Source organism: Homo sapiens, chromosome 16 (assembly GCF_000001405.40).
Source record: "Homo sapiens chromosome 16, GRCh38.p14 Primary Assembly".
Classification (NCBI taxonomy): Eukaryota; Metazoa; Chordata; class Mammalia; order Primates; family Hominidae; genus Homo; species Homo sapiens.
The window spans coordinates 76,545,531-76,569,638 of record NC_000016.10 but is presented as its reverse complement, the minus strand read 5'-3'; the positions used below and the strand labels follow the sequence as shown (position 1 = coordinate 76,569,638).

Below are 24,108 nucleotides of genomic sequence, written 5' to 3'. Positions count from 1 at the left end.
GGAAATGTGATAATGGATTTCCAACTGAATGCACTTTTTCTGCATATATAGTCTGTTATTTCAAACCCTCCGTAATTTTTATCTTAAAAGCTGTGATGTCATCATCATTGTATCTGGTGAATTAAGAGGAAGACCTGAGCTTCAGCCAGAAGCAGCTGCTCATGAAAAACAAGGGTAAGCTAAACTCTAGTTTGGTCACTAAGTAATCTAATGTGGGCCAATTGGCTGAAGTAACTTATAAGTACAAAAATGAGTTAGTTGAATCTGACACCATTCTTTTGGGATCTCTAGAAAAGCCTAGGGGAGAGAAGATACCTACCTAGAAGATCTAACTTTCTGAAGTCTCAAGACAGGAGCTCAAACTATTTGTATTTGGGTTTTAAAGAAATGGATGGTATTTGAAAGCTGTGTGAATTAGGCTAAAGTTTGCCTTGGTTCCACTGAACTGTCTGGAAATCAGTAGGAGATTCTACACTTCTCCATAAACCACTCCTTCAATGGGAATGCATTCGTATAGCAATAAATCATTCCATGTGTGTAACTAAGATTCATTTTGGCAAATTAGTAGCAATTTTTAAAAGAATGTTATTAATATCTCAAAAAATATTTCCCTTCAAATTGTGGATTTCAAGAATAAGACTAACTCTAAGTTTCTACTGTGTCTTATAGCTTAACTTCTGTACCTAAGCTTCAGTTTCATTACAGAAGCCAACAGAAAAAGCAAAATTGCTACAAAGACACTTTTAGGAACATTTCAACACTCTATCAGTTTCATACATCATGAAATTTCAACTATGGTAAGATCAAATGGGACTGTATTTCCACAAGAAAGCCTTCAGGAAAGATGAGAGATTTTCTTTAGTTTATACAAATCATAGGTACAAAAAGGATGTGTGGACAGAAAATTTAACACCATTCAAAAAGTATTACCAACATTATCACCAATAGTTCTTAATATAAAGATTGTGCCTAATTTGAAATTAGTTTGGTCAGTGTTTTCTTTTCTGTGTGTTTTGTAAGTTAAAATAGAGTACTCTTGCTATACGTGTTTTTTTTTTCATATAACTACAATCTCATTCCAGAAGATGCTATTCTCCAATAATTTATTTGTGCTATAAAAAGTTTGTCAGAGAACTCCAGCAAATGAGAAAAGTTTGTCAGAGATCTCCAGCAAATGAAAAAAATTATTGCAAGAACTGTTTCAATCCTCATAGTCATTTGTAACCATAATCTTTTAATATGTATTTTGAAAGAACAGGTCATTTCACTGCTCAATTAAAAAATTAATTTGCTCCTGTGGAAAATATAGAGAAACATGAATCATTTATAACAGCCTATTTTGAATGAAAACATGAATTCATTCAGCAAGAACATTCTTTACCTGAAAGTTTATCAAATGAACAGCTTGGAAGCAGATGTGCTGGTTCAATAGGCATAAATTCATGTCCAGTATCAGCACATGAAATAAGGAAATCATTTATCAAGAGCAAGCCCAAGTTAGTCTGGTATGACACAAAGAATTATGATAAGAACTGGTGTTGGTAGTGCCTGCCTTGATAAAATAGATGTTCACAATGTAATGATGCCTCAGAAAATTATTATTACTGCTTCTGATTTTCAGAAACAAGATGAAGGCACTAAGCAACTCGAGTTGTGAGAGTTTTCGGTCCTTTTTTAGGAGAAAGAGGGAAGGATTAGCTGGCAGCCAGAGCCATAGGAGAAGTCTAAGTTTCATTCCGGTGAGATTCACTATTTGCATTTTCTTCGTATAATAAAAGTAAGTCAGATTTATAAAAAGAAATGGACTACACATGATATACCTGACTCAGGAAATATGGGCATAGGCAGCTACTGCTCAAGAATTTTGTACATAGAAAAATAAAGAGACACCTGAACACCAGTTTCTGGAAGAGTTCAAACAAAAAGGTTCTGAAGTGACGGATCTCAGGCCTAGTTGAATGAAGGAAATTACAGGGAATGGGGGTGTGATAAGCAGAATAATGACCTGCAAAGCTGTCCACATCCTAGTCCCTGCAACCTGTGAATACATGCCATACACAGCAAAGAGGAACAAGGTTGCAGATGGAATACAGGACACAAATCAATTGGCATTAAATAGGGAGATTATGCTTAATGATTTGATTATCTGGATTGTGGTCTCAATGTAATTACAAGTGTTTAAAAATAGAAGGAGAAGGAAAAAGAAGAGGTATCAGTGATGCAGTTTGAGAAAGACTTGACCTGCCATTGCTGATTTTGTAAATGAAGAGGCTGGATGTGGTGGCTGATGCCCATAATCCCAGCACTTTGGGAGGCTGAGGTAGATGAATCACCTGAGATCAGGAGTTCAAGACCAGCCTGGCCAGCATGGTGAAACCCCATCTCTACTAAAAATCCAAAAATTAGCCAGGCTTGGGAACTCTGGCCACATCAGAGAGTCTATGCAAATAATGTTATTTATGGCAAAGAAGCTTTTAGAGAATAACTTCGGCCATGCAGGCAATCAACCATGTCACTGTGACCATGCCCCAGTATAAAACTCTGCACACCAAGACTCATGTAAGCTTCCCTGGTGGGCAATACTTCATGCATATTGCACACATTGTTGCTGGAAGAATTTAGCACTCTTCACAGGTCCACTGGGAGAGGACAATTGAAAGTTCACGCTTAGAACTCTACTGGATGCTGTGTCTTTTTCCTATGGTAACTTTAATCTGCAACCTTTTGCTGTAATAAACTATACCCCAGCATGGTAGCTTTCTGGGCGTTCTGTGAATCATTCTATCAAATTATTGAAGCTGAAGGTCGTCTTGAGTATCCTCAAGCTCACAGATGGTATCAGAATCGAGGGATTTCTTAGGGACTCGTGAACTCTTCAACTGTATACCTATGAGTGGGACTTAAGGAAAACCCAAAACATACAAGCTGACAATATTAAATTTTGAGAATGCAGACCCACACAATCTCTCATTCATTGCTGGTGTAAATGAAAACTAAAATAGCAATTTTGGCAATTTCTTAAAAAGTTATACATTCCCTTACCATACGATACAGAAATTCCAATTCTAGGCATTTACCTAAGAGAAATAAAAATTTATGTTCACACAAAAAACAAAATGGGAATTTGACAGCACCTTTATTTATAATTGCAAAACCTGGAAACAGCCTTGTTTTCATCAACAGATGAATGAAAAATCTGTGATACTTTCATATAATAAATATTATTCAGCAAAAAAAAAAAAAAAAAAACATGGAATGGGTCTTTCCTGAAGTGAAAGAAGCGAAACGCAAAAGATGGCATACTGTATGGTCCCATTTATATGGCATTCTAGAAAATGCAAAAATGTAAGTATGGACAACAGATAAGTGAATACCAGAGTAAGGAAGTGGGGAGAGGGGCTGACCACAAAGAGAAAGCCTGAGGGAATTTTAGGGAGTGATGAAACTGTTCTATATTATGGTTGTATAGGTGCACACATAATACTATGCACTTGTACAAGCTCACAGAGGTATATATCACAAGGGTTAATTTTACAGTATTCAAATGAAGAAAAACATTTAAAAAATAATAAAAAAGAAATCACAAAGAAAGATCAATAGACTTTACAAATGTAGAAGTTCTATCATTTAAAAATAAAATTCAGTGGTGCAATGCCATAAAAATTCTGAAAGGAAATTAATTGCAAATTACAATTATGTATTTCATAAATCTGTTGATCTAATGTGAAAATAAATATATTTATGAACATAAAAGTTCTCAAAATGCTTGCCTCCTACACATTGTTTCTCTGGAAGGAACTGCAAGATTTATTTCATCAAAATGAGTGAGTCAGTCGAACATGAGAAAGGCATAAGGAGGAAGACACTGGGGATTCAACAGATACATCAGGAATGAGAGGGAGGGAATTCCCAGCATGAGAAGAAAGGAAGCCTTGGGTTGACAGCTGTGAAGCAGTCTTGAGAGAAGCAAGTACAGAATGCATTGAGACAGTGGCAGGCTCACTAAAGTGCAGCAGAGAAATGTTGGGACCTGCAGGTGGAGGATAGAGGTGAAGTAACCTTACAGCGGAGAAACTTTACAGACCATATGTATCAGAGTGACCATCATCAGTTATTGGACAAATTGAAATTATGCACTGCACCCCCTGCTAGGATGCAATGAGAAAAACACAGCACCAGTTCAGTGCTTTCATTGACTAATATGAATAAACTGAATGCAATCAAGAGGAAACGTCAGCCAAACCCAAACTGAGGGCTGTGATACTAAGTGGTCTATAACCTTTACAAAGATATCATGGGTGTGGAAGTCAAGGAAAGTCTGATAAACTCCTTCAACAAAAGCAAACTAAAAATAGATGACAACTGAATGTCATACATGATTCTAAAGTGGATTCTTTTGTTATAAAATACGTCATTGGGACAGCTAGTGAATCTATGAGGTCTGGAGACTAGATGGTAATAATGTATCATACTTCCAAATTTTCTGTAACATGTTTATTGTCTCAAAGTTTGTTAAAGTAACAATCTTTTGTCTTTAAGCATGAGTCAGTTTTCAAAACTAGAAGTCACTGTATATAAAAGAGGCTGCAGAAATGTTTGCAGGGAGATCTGCAGGGAAAAGGACCCTGCAGCATCCCCATGAGTGTAGACACTAGTGATTCCCCGGGGTTTTCCAAAGGGAACTGTGACCATTTACTACAATAACTGTACATTATGTGGAGAAAGAAGAATAGACAAACATTTCAAGGACAATCGGACAAAGGATCTGAGTTGACGTTGATAACTAGAGCTTTCTCCTGGTCTATCCCCATCCCTCATAAGAGTGCAGGTATACTGGCACCAGGAAATGGAGTCCTGGCTCAGGTCGAGCCAATGGACCCAGCAGTAGTCATTTCTCTGCTCTCCAAATATATAATTAGAATGAATTTGCCTAGTGCTGATACCGCCCCCACTTTGGTTCCTCAGACAATGAGGTGACATAAGAAGAGCAGTGACAGTAAAATAATCCAAGTGGCAGAAATTATTCCCTCCCCAGCTCCACTGTCCAAAATGGCAAATCTATGCTGGGGGGCAGAGGGACAAAAATAATGCTATCCTTAAGGATTGAAAACATGCAAAGTCAGTGGCCCCCATGGTACCTCCAGTTAATTTTCTGATCTAGCCCCCGAAGGAACCAGAGGATGCTGAGAACAGCAATGGGCTGCCACAAACTTAAACAGGCAGAACTCCCAATTGCACCTGCTGTATCAGATGTGGTTCTTTAGCTAGGACATGTTAACATGGTCTCAGGTATGTACTAGATGACTAAACAACCTGAACAATATATCCTTTTCCAAACCTATCAGAAAAGAAATTTAGAAACAGTTTGCATTTACCTGGAATGGACAAATAGTCTTGCCCCAAGGCTACTCCCTCTCTCTGTCCTGATACAGTCTGAAGAGACAAGTGTCATGTGGACAATTCTGCAGAAAACACTGGTCTGCTATATTGGCTGCCCAATCAGTTCAATTATTAGACATCCAGTGGTTTAGAGAAGACATCAGAAAACTATGGCTTGTAGGCCAGATCTGACCCACTACGTGTTTAGTGAATAAAGTTATATTGGAACAGAGCAATGGTCAAAATAATGCTATGTAGACTTCACTGGAAGTCACCAGTGGGAACATCACATTGAAAAACTCAGGGAACTATAGCAGTGCCAGGTCACCTGGCGTAGAGAAACACAACTTTCTAAAAAGGTTCCAGGCTTGCTATTGGGCCCTGCTAGAGACGAAATGCCTTACATCACATTGGCACAGCAAATATGGGCAGAAATGCCCATAATGAGCTGGGTTCTGTCAGGTCCACCAAGTCATAAAGTTACCTGGGCCCAGCAGGAAGCCATCATCAACTGGAAATGATGCATCTGGAGCCAAGCATGAGCAGGTGCCAGCAAGCTGCATAAGCCAGTAGCCCAGACCCCTGTGATCCACCACTGTCCCAACAGTACCTTTCCCTCAGCTTACACCTAGGGCTGCATGAAGGGTCTCTTACCATCAACTGCTGGAGAAGGGAAATATCTTATCTTGGCATGGATGGGTTGACTTGGAATATGGGTGCAAGGTGAACATGGAAAATGCCACCACTACAGTGCCAATTAGGGTGGCATCACAAGATGGCAATGAGGAAAAGCCCTCCCAATGGCAGAACATTTGCATGGCACCCATGCTCATTCACTCTGCATGAAACGAATAGACTGAGGTTATAATTTATATATACATATGAAATTATATTATATGCTATATGGACTTATGGGCAGTAGGTTGGTCAGTTTGTCAGAGACCTAGAAAGAGACTGGAAGATTGGAAACAAGGAGGTCTGAAGTAGAAGCATGTAAATGGACCTATGGGAGTGGTCATAAAGCATAAAATTATTTGCCCACCATGGAAAGAATCATGGAAGAATCACTAAACAACAATTAGTAGATAGAATGACCTATGCATGGTTGGCATTAAACCAACTTCAATCACTGGCCACCAAAGTGCTGGGGCAATGAGCATATGAACAGAGTAGCCATGCAGGCAGGGGTAGGAGCTACTCATAGACAAGCAGTGAGCATTCCCGCTCATCAGGACTGATCTAGCTACTACCACTCCTGAATGTCCTAATGATCAACAGAGACCAGTGTTCATCCCCCAGAATAATTTCTCTCTACCAGCAGATAAATTCTGTGGCAAGCTGAGTACATCAGATCCCTCTACTCTGAAAGGGACAGAGATTCATTGTAGTAAGAATTATGACTTCCTTCAGGTTTGGGTTGTCTTTACTGCCTGCAAGCCATCAGCCACCACCACCTGTTGAGGGTCTACAGAGCCCCTCTGGTGGTGTGGAATGTGACAGGACCAGCATATCTCATGGCAATGTGCCCACTCCCACTTATCCTTTGCTGTAATGTGGATCTTTCACCGATTCAAGATTTTCTGAGAGGGTATGTGAGAAGTAACTGTCTGTAACCAACAATAAGTGAGGGAGGTGAAATTACACTCTGAGGAAGGGAGAAATGTGCTTTGCATGTTGATACTTCTTTGATCAATTTTAATGGTAATTGCAAAAGTACAGCAGATATACCCTGAGAAGGTCATAGGAGACAAGGGTTCAAACTCCTTGTAGTGTTGTCAGCTGGTGTGGATGGTAGAGGAGGAAAAAGATGAGTACAAGCTACAACTGAGAGACTACCTGCAGTGGTAGGGTCTGTGGTTTATTCCATACTACTCCCTCCTGTCCAAGATATGAAGCTCACTAGAATTCTGAAGGAGCTACTCCCAGAACTCATATGAAGCAGGTGGATCTGGTTAGCACAAGGGGGAACCTCAGAGATGCTGTACTGTGCCACTGAGACTCCTATTTCAGGACTCAGCAATTTATTCTTCTCGGCTGCTGGTGATGTTTGTCCTCCCTCTTCAGGAACCACCTAAGCTGAAAAGAGCCATTTGTCCAAGTTCATGCCCACCTCATCAAGAAGTTAACATCCAATGCCTGGTCAATGCAGAAGTATAAATTCCCATTTCATCCACCCTAACTCTGTATGTCACTAAAGGACCATGTCAGCAGGGTCGGCTGATCCCTTCTTGTGACCATACCACAGCTTTACTTCTCCATCTGCCCCACCCCACATCATTCTGTCTTCAACAGGCGTTGATCTCTACAGTAGCCCCTAACAGATTTCTTCCAGCATAATCTCTGTCTCAAAGTTTGCTTCCCAGGGAACCTAACCTGTAGCTGCTGGTTATTTATAAACACAGAGACAGTGAAAGACACAGTTGAAAGAGTTTTAAGTGTTGGGAAGGGGATCTGGCAATGGAAAGATATTTTTTGTAAGCTTTCTTGAGCTATTTGATTTTTTAAGTATGTGCATGTATTTTTAATAAATAAAGACAATGTTAAAATAGAAAAACAGATTTTTTAAAGATTGTACTGGAAAAGTTATTATACTTGTAGTCAGATTTATTTTCCATCCCCTTTTATTTTTATTTGCAAATCTTCAAAGCCAAGCTCCAGCTTTCTTAATCACATTGTAAGTACACTATGTTGTTCCCTTATCTTAATTTCTTATTATTTGTTGCACACACAAATGTGCTCACCCACCCACATCCCCAACACAAAGACATTCAGCTTCTGAACTTTTTCCTCCACGTTACCACTCTCTCCCATCCAGACTTTGGAAAAGCGAAAGACAACCAGAATATATTGAAGGTATCTAGTCGATTTGTCATTTAGTTGATACATGAGTTTGAAAATCAAACAATTCGCTTGAACATGCATTGATTTAGAATGTGTCTAATTTATCCTTCTATCAGGAGGAAAATATTTGATGATTCCCTCAGTGACATCTAATTCCTATTGTGGATTTCACAAAGCCTACATAAAAGTGCTCCAGTGATAATAATTGTCTCTCCTGCAGTCAAGGGTCATAAACCTACCAAATATTTTTAAAAGAAAGGCAAACCTATCAACAGCAATGACCTATCAAATAAAGGTTGATGTTCATTTAGAACAGATAATGGATAAGCTATAGAACTATAGATCATTGTGGACAAAGAAAGTATCAAGATCTTTCAGATTTTTCTACACCACTAAATAACTGTCAAAATTCCAGGTCTTGGAAGATCAATATCATGTGGAGTAAAAAAGGACATTGTAGTCACATCTTCAACACTTACACAATGTTACATGTCCCCTTGGGAATGTCAATTGATATATCCGCATCCTGGACTTTTCATCTGTAAAACTGTTCACACTAAATCATGTCAGTGCTGTCCAATTCTATGAGTGACTCTGTTGTTCTGAAGGACAAAAACATCTACTGAAAGATAATTTTGAAATGATTGACTTCTGTTTTGCATTTTAGTTCAAAAATGCATTTTATTAATGATAAAATAAGAGATTACAAATCAGGAAATTAAAGTCATGGCATAGGATGTGTCAATGCATTTCCATGCCATAATGTTGAGTCTCTAGCAGTGCAGACCACAGAGGACTGTGAGGCTTCACCAATAAACCTCCCTAGAGTTCAGCTACCAATGAGGTTAATACCGCTACTAAATAACATGAACATCTGCAAAAGATTCAGAGATATAATGATGTTTGCACTCAGCTTTGCATCGAATAAATAATGCCATTTCTATGTTAAATCCTTCCCTTGTCACCATAGATCTTCCAATCAAACAAAGAGTATACCATCTACCAACATAGGTCCTTAGTCCTTCGTAAACTACTATGTTAATTCAGGTTCTTAAGATTTAGTCAGGCATTTGCAGAAACATCAATATGGATATAGTGCTATGAGAAAAGAGAGGCAGGTTTTATAAGAAGAGTTAACAAGGAAAATATAGAAAATAAGATGATAGTAATGCTAAATTTACATATTTCCCGATTCTTCTGGTGTAGACAAACTAAGAAATCCAATAGTTACTTGGGAGGCACTTGAAGGTGTGAGTATGTATAATAGAGTGCCTTTATTGTATGATTGGCTTGCAGAATTCAAAGATAGTTCCTTGTATGCATGGTCTCAAGATTAATTATTGTAACAGTTCCATAAGGTTATTGATCATTCTTTGATCTCCTAGTGTATAATACACCCTAATCAGAATGTACCATTCAGCAAGTTGGATTGATTCTTGGTAATTTTTGAGAAATTCACCCCATCGTTTCAGACGAGAAGTGTCTGGAATGACAAATTCACAGTAGATCATTTAATATGCTATCTCCCCTTAGAGTGTGCATTGTTTAATTATTGATTGTGTAGATCACTGATGGTTGCAGCTCATATTTCAAAAAGTATGTACTGGAAGTCTATGCACAGCAAAATGTACACCTAAAGGGGTATATGTTTCAGAATGGGAAATGGGGCTCTATACTTCAATTTGTCTCTTTTTTGGTAATATATAAGATGATTCGTGAAGTATAATCATTGAAGATCAAGGCGAAGTTTGTGATAAACTTCAGAAAAACAGAAATGTAAACCAATAAAGGACTGATCTAGGTTTGGGCAAAATAGTCTCATAAGTATATTTCATTTGAGGTATTACAGTTGTAAATTAAATAATAATTTTTTGCTGTGTTAAGAATTTTTTTTAATATATCAACAGTTTAGTTGAAAACATTTTACATTCTTTGGGAAACTGGCATTACTCAGGGTCTTAAGTACTGTCACCATCAAACAATGGTAGCAAATTAATTGGAAAACTTTTTTTAAAAGGAAAGACATTACATACTAACAACCACTGCACTTTCTGAGTCTTGTTAAATACAACTTGTATGTTCAGAGTTGAAGTCTGAGACTCAAAACCAAATGTATTCAACATTATTAAGAAGAGACAAATAGAATAATGAGCAATACAAACAAAGCAAAGACAGCAAAACATTTTTCAAGACTATTGATGTATTGTATTGAATATAATACAGAGAAAGGCAAAGGGGCTTTATTATGCTTGTGGCCACTGAAGATGCAAACACCGGCCACACAGGATCTGAGAAGCATTTCCAGGTCTATGAATAACACCACGAGGAGACAAAAGCAAACACAGCAAATGTTCTCAAATAAAGCAAGGACATTATAGTCCAAATTTAATTTTTACCTCTAACAAAACTTATGTATTACATGGTTAAGAGACCAAGGCTACAGTTTTCACATGTAAAAACTGTAGCCATTAAGCAGGTTAAACTTGTTTTAGATCATACCAGAACAGTTGAAAATTAACAGCAATATCTAATTTCTTGTTCCATAGAATGAATGCTATGAGAAATATATCACTGGACGAGGCTTCCTGGAGCCACCCCAAGCCTGTACATGGCAAGATGGCAGTGCTGCAAGCCCACTGCCTGTACATTCAGTGTAAGAGCATTCGTTTTTCCATTGAGAACCCCTGGCTATTAAAACAAACTATCATAATTTTATGTTAAATCATAGCTGCCAATCAGAAGAAGTACTCTTTCTGATTTTCATTGACTGCATTTTGTATATTAAGCTCACTTTTCAGAACAGCCTCAGCACTGTCTACATTCTCTGACCTTTTTGCCTCACTTCTTTTATATAACCTTTTCTGCTGATAAATGCGAACAGCTATGGCAGTGATGCAAAGCAAGATAAAAATCACAACAGCTATCAGACCTAGAGAGAGAAAAGAAATATAAAGTCAGAATTTCTGTCCAAATAGAAACTGTGCTGACTTCATTGCTTAATAAGTCATCATAACACTATTTTCCACTTTAAGCATCTACTACATATAAATTGGAAATATAAAAACTTCAGGTATTTCTGGCTCAAGCAGTATTATTGTATGTTGAGTTTATTTCTGAGTTCTATCAGCCTTGTGGGTTCACCTACATTTATTATGAATGCATATTATATCGGATTTACTTGGTGCATTTATATTTAACACAAGGTATTAACTATATGTCTCTAGGACCATGTGGCCATGTGGCCACTTCATATTAGTTTTAATTATTTTGAAATTATGGAGTAGTAGCAACATCATAAAATGATTAAACTGTTTTGTGATTAAATATGTAAACATTTTAATGAAATTGTTATTCAATTGTTATACTGCTGAACAGCAGAAATGGGTTATGTAAATAAATCATTCTGACCAATAACACATATACAAATATGCCTAAATTATTTCTATATGAGGAATGTTGTTTTAACACTTCTAGTTGTAAATACAAATTCTAAGTACTGCGATTCTTAACTATGTCAATGGTTACCAACGCTGGCATTATATTAGGTCAGTAGTCCTCAAAGTGTGATCTGTAGACGTGTAGTGGTCCCTGGGACACTTTGAGAGGGCACAGGGGCTCAAAACTATTTCATGATAATTCTAAGATGTCTTTTTCACTCTGTTGACATTTCCATTTCCATTTTAATACGGAACCAAATTTGGTATAAAACAAAGTTAGGTAAAATTCCTGGTACTTAGCACAAATTAACGCAAGGACACAAAACAATAATAATAATCATTGAATTCATGAAGTAGAAAACATTACACTGCCAGACAATTGTAGGAAAAGGAATAAAAAGCCAAATTTATTTAAGAATCTCCTTAATGAAGCTGTAAAAACTCTTCATTTAATTAAATCTTGACCCTTGACTGCAAGACTTTCTAACATTTTGTGTGTTAAAATGGGAAACAGAAATAAAGTACTTCTGGTGCACTCTGAAGTCTGATCATTGTCTCCAGGAAAAGCACTTACGTGAACCTTTGAGTTGTGAACTGAATTAGTTGCTTTTTGCTTCATGTAACACCATTTTTATTTGAAAGAATGACTAACAGACAAACTATGGTTGTTCAGACTTGGGTATTTGGTGGACATTTTCTCTAAAATGAATGAAGTAAATGTGTCACTTCAAGAAAAACAATTACACAGCATATGTTGTGAAAGATAAAATTCAAGTTTTCAAATGAAAAATTGAATTTGGAAAACTATTTTCTGCCGCCAAGAGTGTGAGAGTTGCCTAATACTTAAAGAATTTTCTGATAAGATCAGTGAAGGTACAAACTAATGTCATTTTCTTAAGACAAAAATAGGTACTATGAAAATAGCAATGTGAATCAAATCTCATATGGTAAAACTAAGACTCCATTCTAAAGCAAATGTATACAACTGTAACGGAGTGCGAGGAAGTCAAAGATTTGAAGGTTTTTATTAATCACAACAGATTCCTGTGCATATAACCTGCTAGGCCGATTCACCCTGGCCAATTAGAGCACGTCCAATAGCCAAGCCAATTTTTGGCTAGGTCAGCCTTACCTGAGACAGGTAGAAAATCGTTGCTGATTAATATAAATGTGGTAACCAAATTCTGTACATGAAATCTGAAGAATTCATTAATAAATATGATTGCTTTTGTTATTAGTCATATTAATTAATGAATAACTTTAATCAGAATATTTGTTGTTACATATTTTGCTTCTCATTTTAGAAAAAATAAACAGTTGAATTGCTATAAATATTTCTACAGGCTAGTTATAGGCCTCTGGCTTGAAGAGAAAGATTCTGAACAATTTCAATGTGAAAAATTCTGAAATATGATATAGACAGCAGACAACTACAATTATAAAATGAATGTTACATTGGCCGAGACAGAATATCCAGACAGTCAAAATCAGGGATGGCCTCTGGAACTTGTTTGTTCCATGTATGTAATTTAGCACTTAATTTGGGGAAAGTGCTATGTCAGGATTTGTTGTGCTCAAGAAAAACTTTGATCACACGTGTTATACCAAAAATATAAAAATAAAAAATAAATTAGTTATTATGAATAAAATGTGGCCAGCCTCTATGATGCTGCACCTAAAGCACTGTGTGAATCTGCTTTTATGAAGATGTATATATATAGCTTTCTCTCTGGCTAAATCTATCTGTATCTGGGTAGCCTGGCCAGAAACCCCCTACCACATCTGGGTCACCACTTTTAAATGTATTATTAAATAAATTATCCCATCTTATACCATTCATTTTGCAAGTAAAAAAAAATCATCTAAGATGTAGAACATAGGGGGATTAGCCAATTTGGAAAATCCTTGGATGGGTTAATTATTATTACATAGTGGGTGCAATTTATGAGTGACTAGACAATGAACAAAGGATTCTACCACAGTTCTACCAGATTGTGTAACACACTGGAGGACGATACATTATGATTTAGCAAATAAATTGTGTGTGGCCCAGACAAGGCCTTCAGAGGTTACATGGCCATTACCAGATGCTCTGCTTCTGAAGTTTAGTCTCTGCAATGACCAAAACCAGACATCACTAGTTTCAGGGACCCTGGCAAGCCCCTGAACTACAAACCTTCCATATTGTTTCTGTCCTGTGAATTTGAGCTAAGTGAGAATTTCACAGATGAACTGTAACTTGTTTCTATTCTAGAATAACTTTAGGATGACTTATCAATGCACTTCTTGTTTAACTCTGTAAATCTTGCCAATGATGTTTGAGCAAAACAACAATAGTCTAGAGATTAAATATTTTGTTCTAGCATTGGCTTGATGACTATATACCACTCTATATTTCTATCTGTCTCTGTATCTGTATTTACCTGAATCTATCCTGGTTGAATGTCTGGAAAAAGCAATATTATAAGACTGAGACAACTTGCTTGACCAGGAATTCTAGCTTAAACTCTTGGACACATTGTAAATACTATAGCTTTAAGTGAGTTTTTACTGTATAACGTGTTTCTTTTAGACATACAATTATTAACTCCTCTTCAAATAGAGTTTTTTTGTTTGTTTTGGGTTTTTTGTTTTGCATGTTTGGTGATTAAATGGGAATCCTATTTTTTATAACTTTAATTTGTACATCATTAACTTGAGAAACAGAAAAGCAACTGAAATAGCATGGGGGAGTTAATATCCACACAAAGATTTGACTGGTATTATTTGCTGTCCAAATAAAATCCTAACTACTTGAAAGCAATATATGTCTAGATGAATAGAAAAAATACATCCAAATGAATCAGGTATAAAGCCACATAAATTGCCCAAATTGAAATGTTAAGTGGTTCACCTTTCTTTACACTCTGAATATGATATGGATATAGAAAGTAAACAATTATCCTGTTGCCCTGCCAGGGAGATACAATTTTAAAGTTTTTGTGCCAGTAATACGATTATTCATATATGATATGAATAAATAACAAGTTGAGCACCTAGAAGAGAAATGGGAAAGAGAACTAAAAGCTAAACAAACAAAACCAACTTTAAGAAGCCATCTTGAGAAGGTAGCCTGAAAGCCACATGAGAAGTTTTCTAAATTCCATGGACAAGCTGGGTTTGTGACTGAATAGAGGAAGAACTCTAAGTCACCTGCAAACGAAATATTCATATTTCATATATGAATAATCATATTACTGGCACAAAAACTTTAAAATTGTATCTCCCTGGCAATGCAACAGAATAATTGTTTACTTTCTATATCCGTATCATATTCAGAGTGTAAAGAAAGGTGAACAAGTTAACATTTCAATAATCTGATTAATAACATTCTTAAGAGCATTAATCAAGAAGAAAAAAAGCTTGTTTTTTGAGTTGCTTTTGAAAAAAAATATCAGAGAATATGCTGTCACATTTCCAGGGAGACATACTTTAAAAGTTTTTGTGTTAATTCTGCAATTTAAAGTTACTACTAATCACTTTTAGTTCATTAATCTAATATTTGATAAAAATACAACTGAAAGTGTAATATTTAGTTGATAGAAGCATCTTTAAATAGTTTACTATGCAAATAGCATCTTTATTAAGCCTTGAGGCAATACAAAATATATGCTTCTAGTGTTAATCTCAGGTTTTTCCTACTTTTTGCATGAACCTTTCCAGAAGCAGTGATATGTCCAAGAAGTGAAGAAAAACGAAATTTACTCAAATATATTCACAATTCTCTAGTGACTACCTGTGGCTATGTTCAAGCTTGATAATATTCATTATTACACATGTTAGCAATTAATCTTTGAGTGCCATGCTTCAGTGAAATTGTCAATTATTTATACTGAAAATCTCCAAGGAAGCAGAGAATTCAGAAAGATTCTAAAGACAATCCAGTACAAATAGTAAATCACCCCAATGACCTCAGGATTCAGTGCCTGGCACTTGGAGTATGTGCAGATTCTTCACAGTTTCTACAATGCTAAATATTCATCATCATTATTAATAAGAACAACCAAAGAAGAGCTCATTCATGCTTCTTATTACCTCCAATTACTGCAGAGTCACTTTTGATTGCATTAGCAAGGGGCTCTCTGTCATCTATTGTTCCAGAATGATCTGCAGTTAAAGCACAACAAAGGGGGAAGGTGATATAGGCAAGTAAAAGAAGAAATTTTGAAAACATCATAAATGTTTTAAACCACAGAGAATTATGGAGGCGAATGTGGGATCTCTGTTATTTTCAATTTAAGCAATGTCAATGGCAATGACCCCCATAAATAAGAAGTTGAGCACCTAGAAAAGATATGGGAAGGAGAACTAAAAGCTAAACAAACAAAACCAACTTTAAGAAGCCATCTTGAGAAGGTAGCCTGAAAGCCACATGAGAAGTTTTCTAAATTCCATGGACAAGCTACGTCTGTGACTGAGTAGAGGAAGAACTCTAAGTCACCTGCAAACGAGTGTGTCCTTTCCCTTGATGTGGCATCAGTGCCAGGCTGGGCCATACAGCTGGACTCAGTCACGTGTCCTGTAACAGTGACAGGGTCTGGGTGGCTGGGGTGCAGAGCTGCCTTCAGAGGGGCCACGTGGCTGAGCTGCACTGCAGAGAGGCAGCCTGTGAAGCCCTGCGCACCTGCCAGTGCAGTATCCTGGTCCACATCACTGTGTTCTAGAAATTCAAAGAAACACCGAAATATTAGTAGTGAAAAGTGAAAATAGGCGATGATGCAGAAATTGAGGATTCTGAGCTAATGCAATAGCAATAAAGTTACTAAATTCCTTTTTAATTTTATCTTTACTAAAAAGATAAAAATCCATTATTCTTTCCACTACTATTGGTAAGATTTCCAATGTTAATGAAGTCAAGTTTTTAAGCATGGATTATTAAAAGTGATATGGTAAGCTCCCTAGAAACAAAGCATAAGAATGGGTCAGGTTAAGAAGTGATGAGGGTGTCATGATACTTTTAATTTAAATATAGATTATTGCAATGTATTTACAATAGGGCTTGTAGTCAATATCAAGAGGTACATCCTGGATTTGAAAACAAGTTCAGTACAGGTTTCAAGACTTATGCCCTGAAAGTAACAGAAACTAGAGAGAAAATTGAGCCTCTGGACTTCTGTTATCAGATGCCCAACCCGACAATTTGTTATGGCTGAAAGCTTTCTGATATTTTATGGCCCCACCCAAACATAACAGGAGGATGATACTATCATGCAGTGGAGGCCATACCTCGAAGTTATTAGGGTCTTTCCCTAATTACTCATGTACAGCAATAAAACCCTTTATACCCCTATGTCTTTTCTTCTTGTTTCAATGACAACTTGTCACTGGGACAGAAATATCTGTGCCCTCTAAAGACAGATAATCTCTTCCTCCTATTAATAAGAATTTAGTTAGTATGAGACTCTTGTGGAACGGAGATTGGTTTTAATGCTGGGATATTAATTATAATTTTAACTTAGGAATATATTATACATACTCCTTGCTTAGCAAGCATGAAATCTAAACAAGAGAAATTTATCATAGGCTTTGAAGGCTCAGATGTCATCAAAATACAATGCATCCATCCACCCAGTGTGATAAAAAAAAATAGCACAACTATTGATATGGTTTGGCTCTGTGTCCCCATCCAAATCTCATCTTGAATTGTAATCCCCATAATCCCCACGTGTCAAGGGAGGGACCCTGTGGGAGGTGATTGGATCGTGGAGGCAGTTTCCCCCATGCTGTTATTGTGATAGTGAGTGAGTTCTCATGAGATGTGATAGTTTTATAAGTGTTTGGAAGTTCATCCTTCTTCTCTCTCCTGCTGCCATGTGAAGAAGGTTTTTGCTTCTCCTTCCCCTTTGCTTTCTGCCTATAATTTGCTTTCTGCCTATAAGTTGCTTTCCGATTATAAGTTTCCTGAGGCCTCCCAGCCATGTGGAACTGTGTTGATTACACCTCTTTCCTTTATAAATTACCCAGTCTCAGGAAGCTCTTTATAGCAGTGTGAGAACGGACTAATACAACTATTCTCCCCTGCACTGTATATAGGTAGGGAAAGACAAAATGTGCACTTTAGTCTTTCTTTTGAAAATATAATAATATGGGAGTGTATATTCAGGGCAACTTGAATCTACGTTCCCAGGAAGTTAAGTTAAATTAAAAGTAAAAACAATGCAATGGATATTAAGTATATATGAGTGTATATTATGTGCTAGCCAGTGTTCTAAAAGATTTGCATGCTACTGATAAAACTTTACAGTAGACACTGGAGTATATTATCCAAGTCACACAAATGGAACAGTTAAGTTCAGAATTTTAACTATTCACCTGAAGTTACACAGTTGTTGGCATTACTGGACCTCTGGCCTACTGTATTCCAAATTATGAGCTTCTTTTGTTTATAAACCACTCTCTGGTTGAGATACTCTTTCCTTTACTCTGCTTTCAGTCTCTGTAGTGGCTTTTATTTATTTATTTTTTAAATCATCTTTGCTTGAGAGCTAGACTTTAACTAACCCTGGGCATCTGAGCTCTAATATATATATATATATATTTTTTTTTTAACAGACTCTCACTCTGTCACCCAGGCTGGAGTGATGTGGCACGATCTCAGCTCCCTGCAGCTTTTGCCTCCCAGGCTCAAGTAATTCTCCTGCCTCAGCCTCCCGAGTAGCTGGGATTGACGCCTGGCTAAATTTTTTGTATTTTTAGTAGAGATGGAGTTTTGCCATGTTGGCCAGGCTGGTCTTGAACTCCTGGCCTCAAGTGATCCACCCACTTTGGCCTCCCAACGTTGCTGAGATTATAGGCATGAACCACCGCACCTGGCCAGTTATATCTAAGTTTTTAAAGAATTTTGAGGGGCTCTATTTTCATTCATGTTTTCTACGTAATAATAAAAATCCTGATACAATGTTTAGTATTTTGAATATCATCCTCTATAAAAAGAAAATGGAAAATCAGAGCGATTATATCACTTTCCTGTTGTGAGGGATCTGGTATTGAGCCATGTTCTGACCCACCTTGCTCTTCTTCATTACCCAAAGATAGCACTGAGGGAGCATCACTCTGCTGCTTACATACGATACTGTGAGCTCCTCAAACATAAAGATGACTGCCAACATCCAGCATAACGTCATTATATAGGAGGCAGTTCATCAATGTGTATGGAACCAAAGAAATCATTTAGTCCACCTTGGCAATCATTCATTTGAATATATGTAGATTTAAACATATATACATGAAAAAGACCGCATTCTTGATTTGGAGTTTTTTTTTTCTTTTTACTTTAATGAGAAATTAAAAAGAAAATAAAAATTAAAAAGAAAAACTCTCATAGGAGCATAATTGGGAGAGTGCTTTTCACATTTCTTCTACAAGGTTAAAATGTTGAATAAAATTTCCATAGGCCTTTAAAAAATCTTCCCTTTTCAGCCCCACCCCACCAGACAAGATTTACTTCTCTGGTAATAATCTGATATGAGATATATTTTAAAAGCCTCACACTTACAAACTGAAAACATTTCACCTATTTCAAAATTATTGTACAAAAACCAATGACCGCTAAAACTCAAAATGGACACATGGTCAGTTAATATTTATCCTTTTATGAGCTAAAGAAACAGAAAACAAATGCCCGGATGTTTGAGTATTTTACATGTTAGCAGGGAAAGGGAGAGAGACAATAAACATAGAAACAAAAACTAAATGAGAATTTTAAAGACTGATAATACTATGAAGAAAACAAATTAGACAATATGATGGTTGTAACTGGAACAGAAAATTACCCTGATGGATTAGGTTATATTTATGTGTTTATTTTAAGGGTGACATTTTTTGCAGCCCTATTCCCTTAGTACACTATGGATATTATTCCAGCATCTTCTGGCTGTATTACTTCTTTTTCAAAATTTGTAAGATACCCTGTGATTTTTGAATTTTCATCAGATTGTCCCTAAGTGTGTATCTTATCTCAGTATTCTGCATAGAACATGATAAGCCCTTTCAATCTGCAGACACAAAGTTTTTATTTAGCTTGGAATTTTTCATACAATCTGCACACTACTGCTGTTTCACCTTCTTCCTTTTTATTCTCTTAGAATGCCAATTTTTCACATTAGGTCTCCTCTATATATTCTCTAAATTCATTTTATTTCCATCCTGATTTCTATTATTTAGGACTTACATCTCTGTGGGTCAAATACTTCATTCACTTGATCTTCCAGATGCAAATTCAAGTAGCAAAAAAGATCATTCTTTCCTGTTATATTTTTTGTTTGGGAAAAAAAATCATATTTTTTAGATCCTCAAGGTCTTTTTTTTGCTTTATGAGAATCTCCTTAAAGTACTCTTACTAAGCCTCATTCATGTTGTTGTCTGTCTCCTTGAATAGCTTTATTTTGATAGAAAATCATTTTGGTTTAGTTTTTTTCTCCTTTTATTGATGTTGAATGGTTTTAAGTCTGGAGTTGGTTTGTTAGTTTACTTTTTAATCTGCTTGCCGGTGCCCAGCCACTGATCACCTTAGGTGGCTCACACCCAGGGCAAGTAGACAGTGTGGTGATCTGGGTGGACCAGGAGCAGAGCTGCAGGCCACAGCCCTAAGAAGAAACCTCTCCTCACTCAGCTTTGGGACAGAGAGGGCATGGCCCAAATTTCAGGTCATCTTAGCACCTTGAGAAACAGAGAAAATGGGCACATTAATACTTTCTAATGCTTATCTTTCCCCATGGGGCCCAGGGACCTCTGTAAGGCAAGCAATCCACAAGATCCAAACAATTCAAATCCCCCCCTGAGATTCTTCTAGGCTGGCCCCCGGACTTCCTTCCAACCCAGAAGGTAGGAAGCCCCACAAGAGCCTCCTCACTGGTTCCCTCCAGGATCCCCCTGCCTGTCCGCCTGGACCAACAACTCATTTCAGAAGCGTCGGTGGGGTAGAATTCGAATCGGAAGTGGAGGGAAACTACAAGCAACTCAGCCGCCGTCCTCCCAGAATTGAGTCCAAACAAAATTAGCAGCTATATTAAGTTGCTCATAAGCAAAGCTGGCCTTAGAAATACATAGCATCAGATATCTGCTTTGACAATTGTGCTAATAAGCCAATGGGCAAAAATATAAGTTTTTCTTGTTATCTGACTCCCCAAAAGCCAACACAGTGTAATGAGTTAGAACAGGGTAGGTGGAGGGAGAGACTGATGACAAATGTCTCCTGCTTCACAGAAATCTGGATAAAACAGTCATGTTTTAGGTGTTTCTTGTGATAATAATCCTTAACTGACTCGGATTTCTGGGTGTTTGTGCCTGTTAAAAAGTAACCCTCAAGTGCAATTTCCAACAAAGGGAGTGACTTCTGCTTGTCGAAAGAAGAAACCTTTTAACAAAAGGCCTGCAAGAAAAATGGAGTACCGAGAAATTAGAATTTGGTGAAGTGCCCTTCTATTACAGAGAAACGACTGTTTTTTTGAAAGATACGACAATACATGTAAGAACAATTACAAGGAGTGCTTTATGAAATTTCCTGAGGCGTAAGCAAAAAAATAAAAACTCAGAAAACGAAGTACTTTATATGTCCTACCTATGAGAAGGAGTCATTTAAAAAGAAAGATCTCAATGTCTGGAATCCATTAAGAAGGCTTGCCAAAAAAAAAAAAAAAAAAAAAAAAGGTGCAGTGAATCAAGAGAGCCAGGGTTGGAACTGAATGGTGCACTCTTACTATTTTATGCAATTCCACCAGGGACTCAACACAAAAAGGGTTAGTGGGAAAGTAAAATGGCAAAGCAGACAAAAAAATACTATGTGGATAAAGAGGCAGTTTATCATAAAAGGTATTTGTTTGCCAACCAAACCTACTGTACTGAGTTATAAACTTGAAAGCCTGATTAATGCACAGGTTATGTACAGGCAGCTATCTTACAGTGGCAGGTATTTCCCTTTTGCTTTCAGCATAACCTGTCTCATTTTAAGTGTCATTTTACAAGATGTTTGCAAAAATCACAGTGTACTTAGGTAAGCTAATTAAACTTTCTTTTTTACCCCTTTGGCTTCGAAGCTGGTTTTACTTAAAATATCCTTGAGATGGAAGATTGTCTCTAAAGCTCTTCTGGGGAGATTCAGTAGACATCCTCTTCTCTCAGACCACACATTTTATTTACATCTGGCCTAAATTGCCACTGCAGAAACCTGAGGTGTGCTTCCTGAGCTCTGCGGACTCCAAAGAGATAAATGATCCCTATGGGTCATCGCCTCTAAATACACCAAAGCTACTACTCGGAACGAGTGAAAATAATCTCCAGGCTTATAGAAAACTCCTATAACATAAAAATGAACAGAACTCAGAACTGAAATTTACAATGAGTTTTGGAGATAAAAAGCAAATGTAGCACACCCTATTAATGATGGATGAATGTCAACCAAGTTAATTTGATGCAACCTGGTTTTTACTGCTACCACCATGAATTATCAACACATTATTGTTAGTGTTCTTGTGCCATTATGTATTTGACACAAAAAATAACAAATAGTAATTATAAATTTCATTCAACTTTTGAGTAGTGATTTTTTTCAGTCATTTTTACTGTGTGTTAAATTACATCATTATTCAAAATGTGGGCATATTTTCCCATGAGAGGTTTTATACAACTTTAATAAGATTATGTAAATATCTTAATTGCGATCTCTCTTTTTCCCCATGTGGTGGAATTGTGATCCAGTAATAGCTTAATGAATTGGCAAAACAACTTTGTATCTGTATATTTCCTTTAATTAATTACATCCTAGAGAGATTTCTTTTTCTATAATTTTCTAGTAAATATTTATCTTAAGGAAGCTGATTGACAAGTCAGTCACTTCGGCATTGGAATTTATGTACATTGTGAACAAAGTACTTAGACATGACATCAGACTATCTGCCTTTTCACAGGGAAGACCAGAAAGAAATGAAATGCTTTCTTCCCCATCCTCTAGTACTAATTTCTACAAATGAGGATGAACTATAGTGACAATTTTTCACTCCAATCACCATTAGCAAGCATTAGAAGCAGATATCAAGCAAGGGGGATAATTTTTATGTAATAATATTAAATTGTACTATGATGGCATGAGAATCATCTCTAACACCCCATTACATTTAACAGACAATGCTGGTAGCATTCAAATTTCTCTGCTCTGATTCTGATTAGTCCTTTGGAATATCATCAGCCTCAGTGGTCCCCAACCTTTTTGGCACCAGGGACCAGTTTCAAGGAAGACAGGTTTTCTACAGATGGGAGTGGGGGGATGGCTTTGGGATGATTCAAGTGCATTACATTTATTGTGCACTTTCTATTATGCATTGTAATACATAATGAAATAATTATACAATTGGCCATAATGTAGAATCAGTGAGAGCCCTGAGCTTCTCTTCCTGTAACTAGACGGTCCCATCTGGGGGTGATGGGAGTTGGTGACAGGTCATCAGGCATTAGATTCTCATAATGAGCACACAACCCAGATCCTTCACATGTGCAGTTCACAATAGGGTTCTCACTCCTGTGAGAATCTAATGCTGTGGCTGATCTGACAGGAGGCAGAGCTCAGGTGGTAATGCAAGCAATGGGGAGCAGCTGTAAATACAGATGAAGCTTCGCTTGCTTGCCTGCCTGCCACTCACCTACTGCTGTGCAGCACAGTACTTGTCCGTGGCCCGTGGTTTAGGAACCCCCGATCATACTGATCTTGCAGTATCTCCTTGTTGTGGCTGCATAGTGCCCTCTCTCCACTTCACAGGTTCCATGTTCACACCCCAGCCAATCCCTTCCTTTCTCTTCCTTACATGGATGACTATTCTTTAATAAATTCACTCACATATTATCATCAGTGCCTAATCGGGGCTTTATTTTTTACTTATTCCTGGTGTGGGCACTTTTTAGTTTTTCTTTTTTTTTTTGAAATGGAGTCTTGCTGTGTCACCAGGCTGGAGTGCAATGGCACAATCTCAGCTCACCGCAACCTCCGCCTCTCGGGTTCAAGCGACTCCACTGCCTCAGCCTCCTGAGTAGCTGAGACTACGGGCGCATGCTACCACGCCCGGCTAATTTTTGTATTTTAGTAGAGATGGGGCTTCACCGTGTTAGCCAGGATGATCTCAATCTCCTGACGTCGTGATCCATCCACCTCGGCCTCCCAAAGTGCTAGGATTACAGGCGTGAGCCACTGTGCCTGGCTGGGTACCTTTTAAGGCATGTTAGTAATTAAAGAAATAAACAATCCCTTTCTCCTTTTTATTTTTGAAATTCTTGTTTTATCATTGTATGAAGGTTTGTAGATTTGAGGCACCTGAAAATATATAATTTTGGATTGGTGACTCTTGCTTTTATCATTTGGTATTTTTTTTTAGTGTAAGTAGAGCTCTATGTGTTATTATGCTTGGCTGCCAAATAAAAAGCTTTG

General features: G+C 37.2%; 1 protein-coding gene across 15 annotated transcripts in view; it reads right to left on the bottom strand.

The window, feature by feature from the left end:
- Positions 1-8,881: 8,881 nt before the first annotated feature.
- The window catches only part of CNTNAP4 (contactin associated protein family member 4), a 283,357-nt gene continuing 268,130 nt past the window's right edge, over positions 8,882-24,108 (bottom strand). For 13 of the 15 annotated variants that reach the window (NR_136216.2, NR_136213.2, NM_001322189.2 and 10 more), the window contains 3 exons: positions 16,138-16,356; positions 15,732-15,803; positions 8,882-11,149 (listed from right to left, as the gene is read on the bottom strand). Coding sequence is in view for 12 of the 15 variants with exons in the window: in NM_001322189.2 (NP_001309118.1) it covers positions 10,956-11,149; positions 15,732-15,803; positions 16,138-16,356 (485 nt within the window). In the remaining 3 variants the exon portion in view is untranslated. Of the gene's footprint in view, positions 11,150-14,550; positions 14,693-15,731; positions 15,804-16,137; positions 16,357-24,108 lie in introns of all 15 variants that reach the window. The other 2 variants (NR_136210.2, NM_001322188.2) reach the window with 2 other exon arrangements.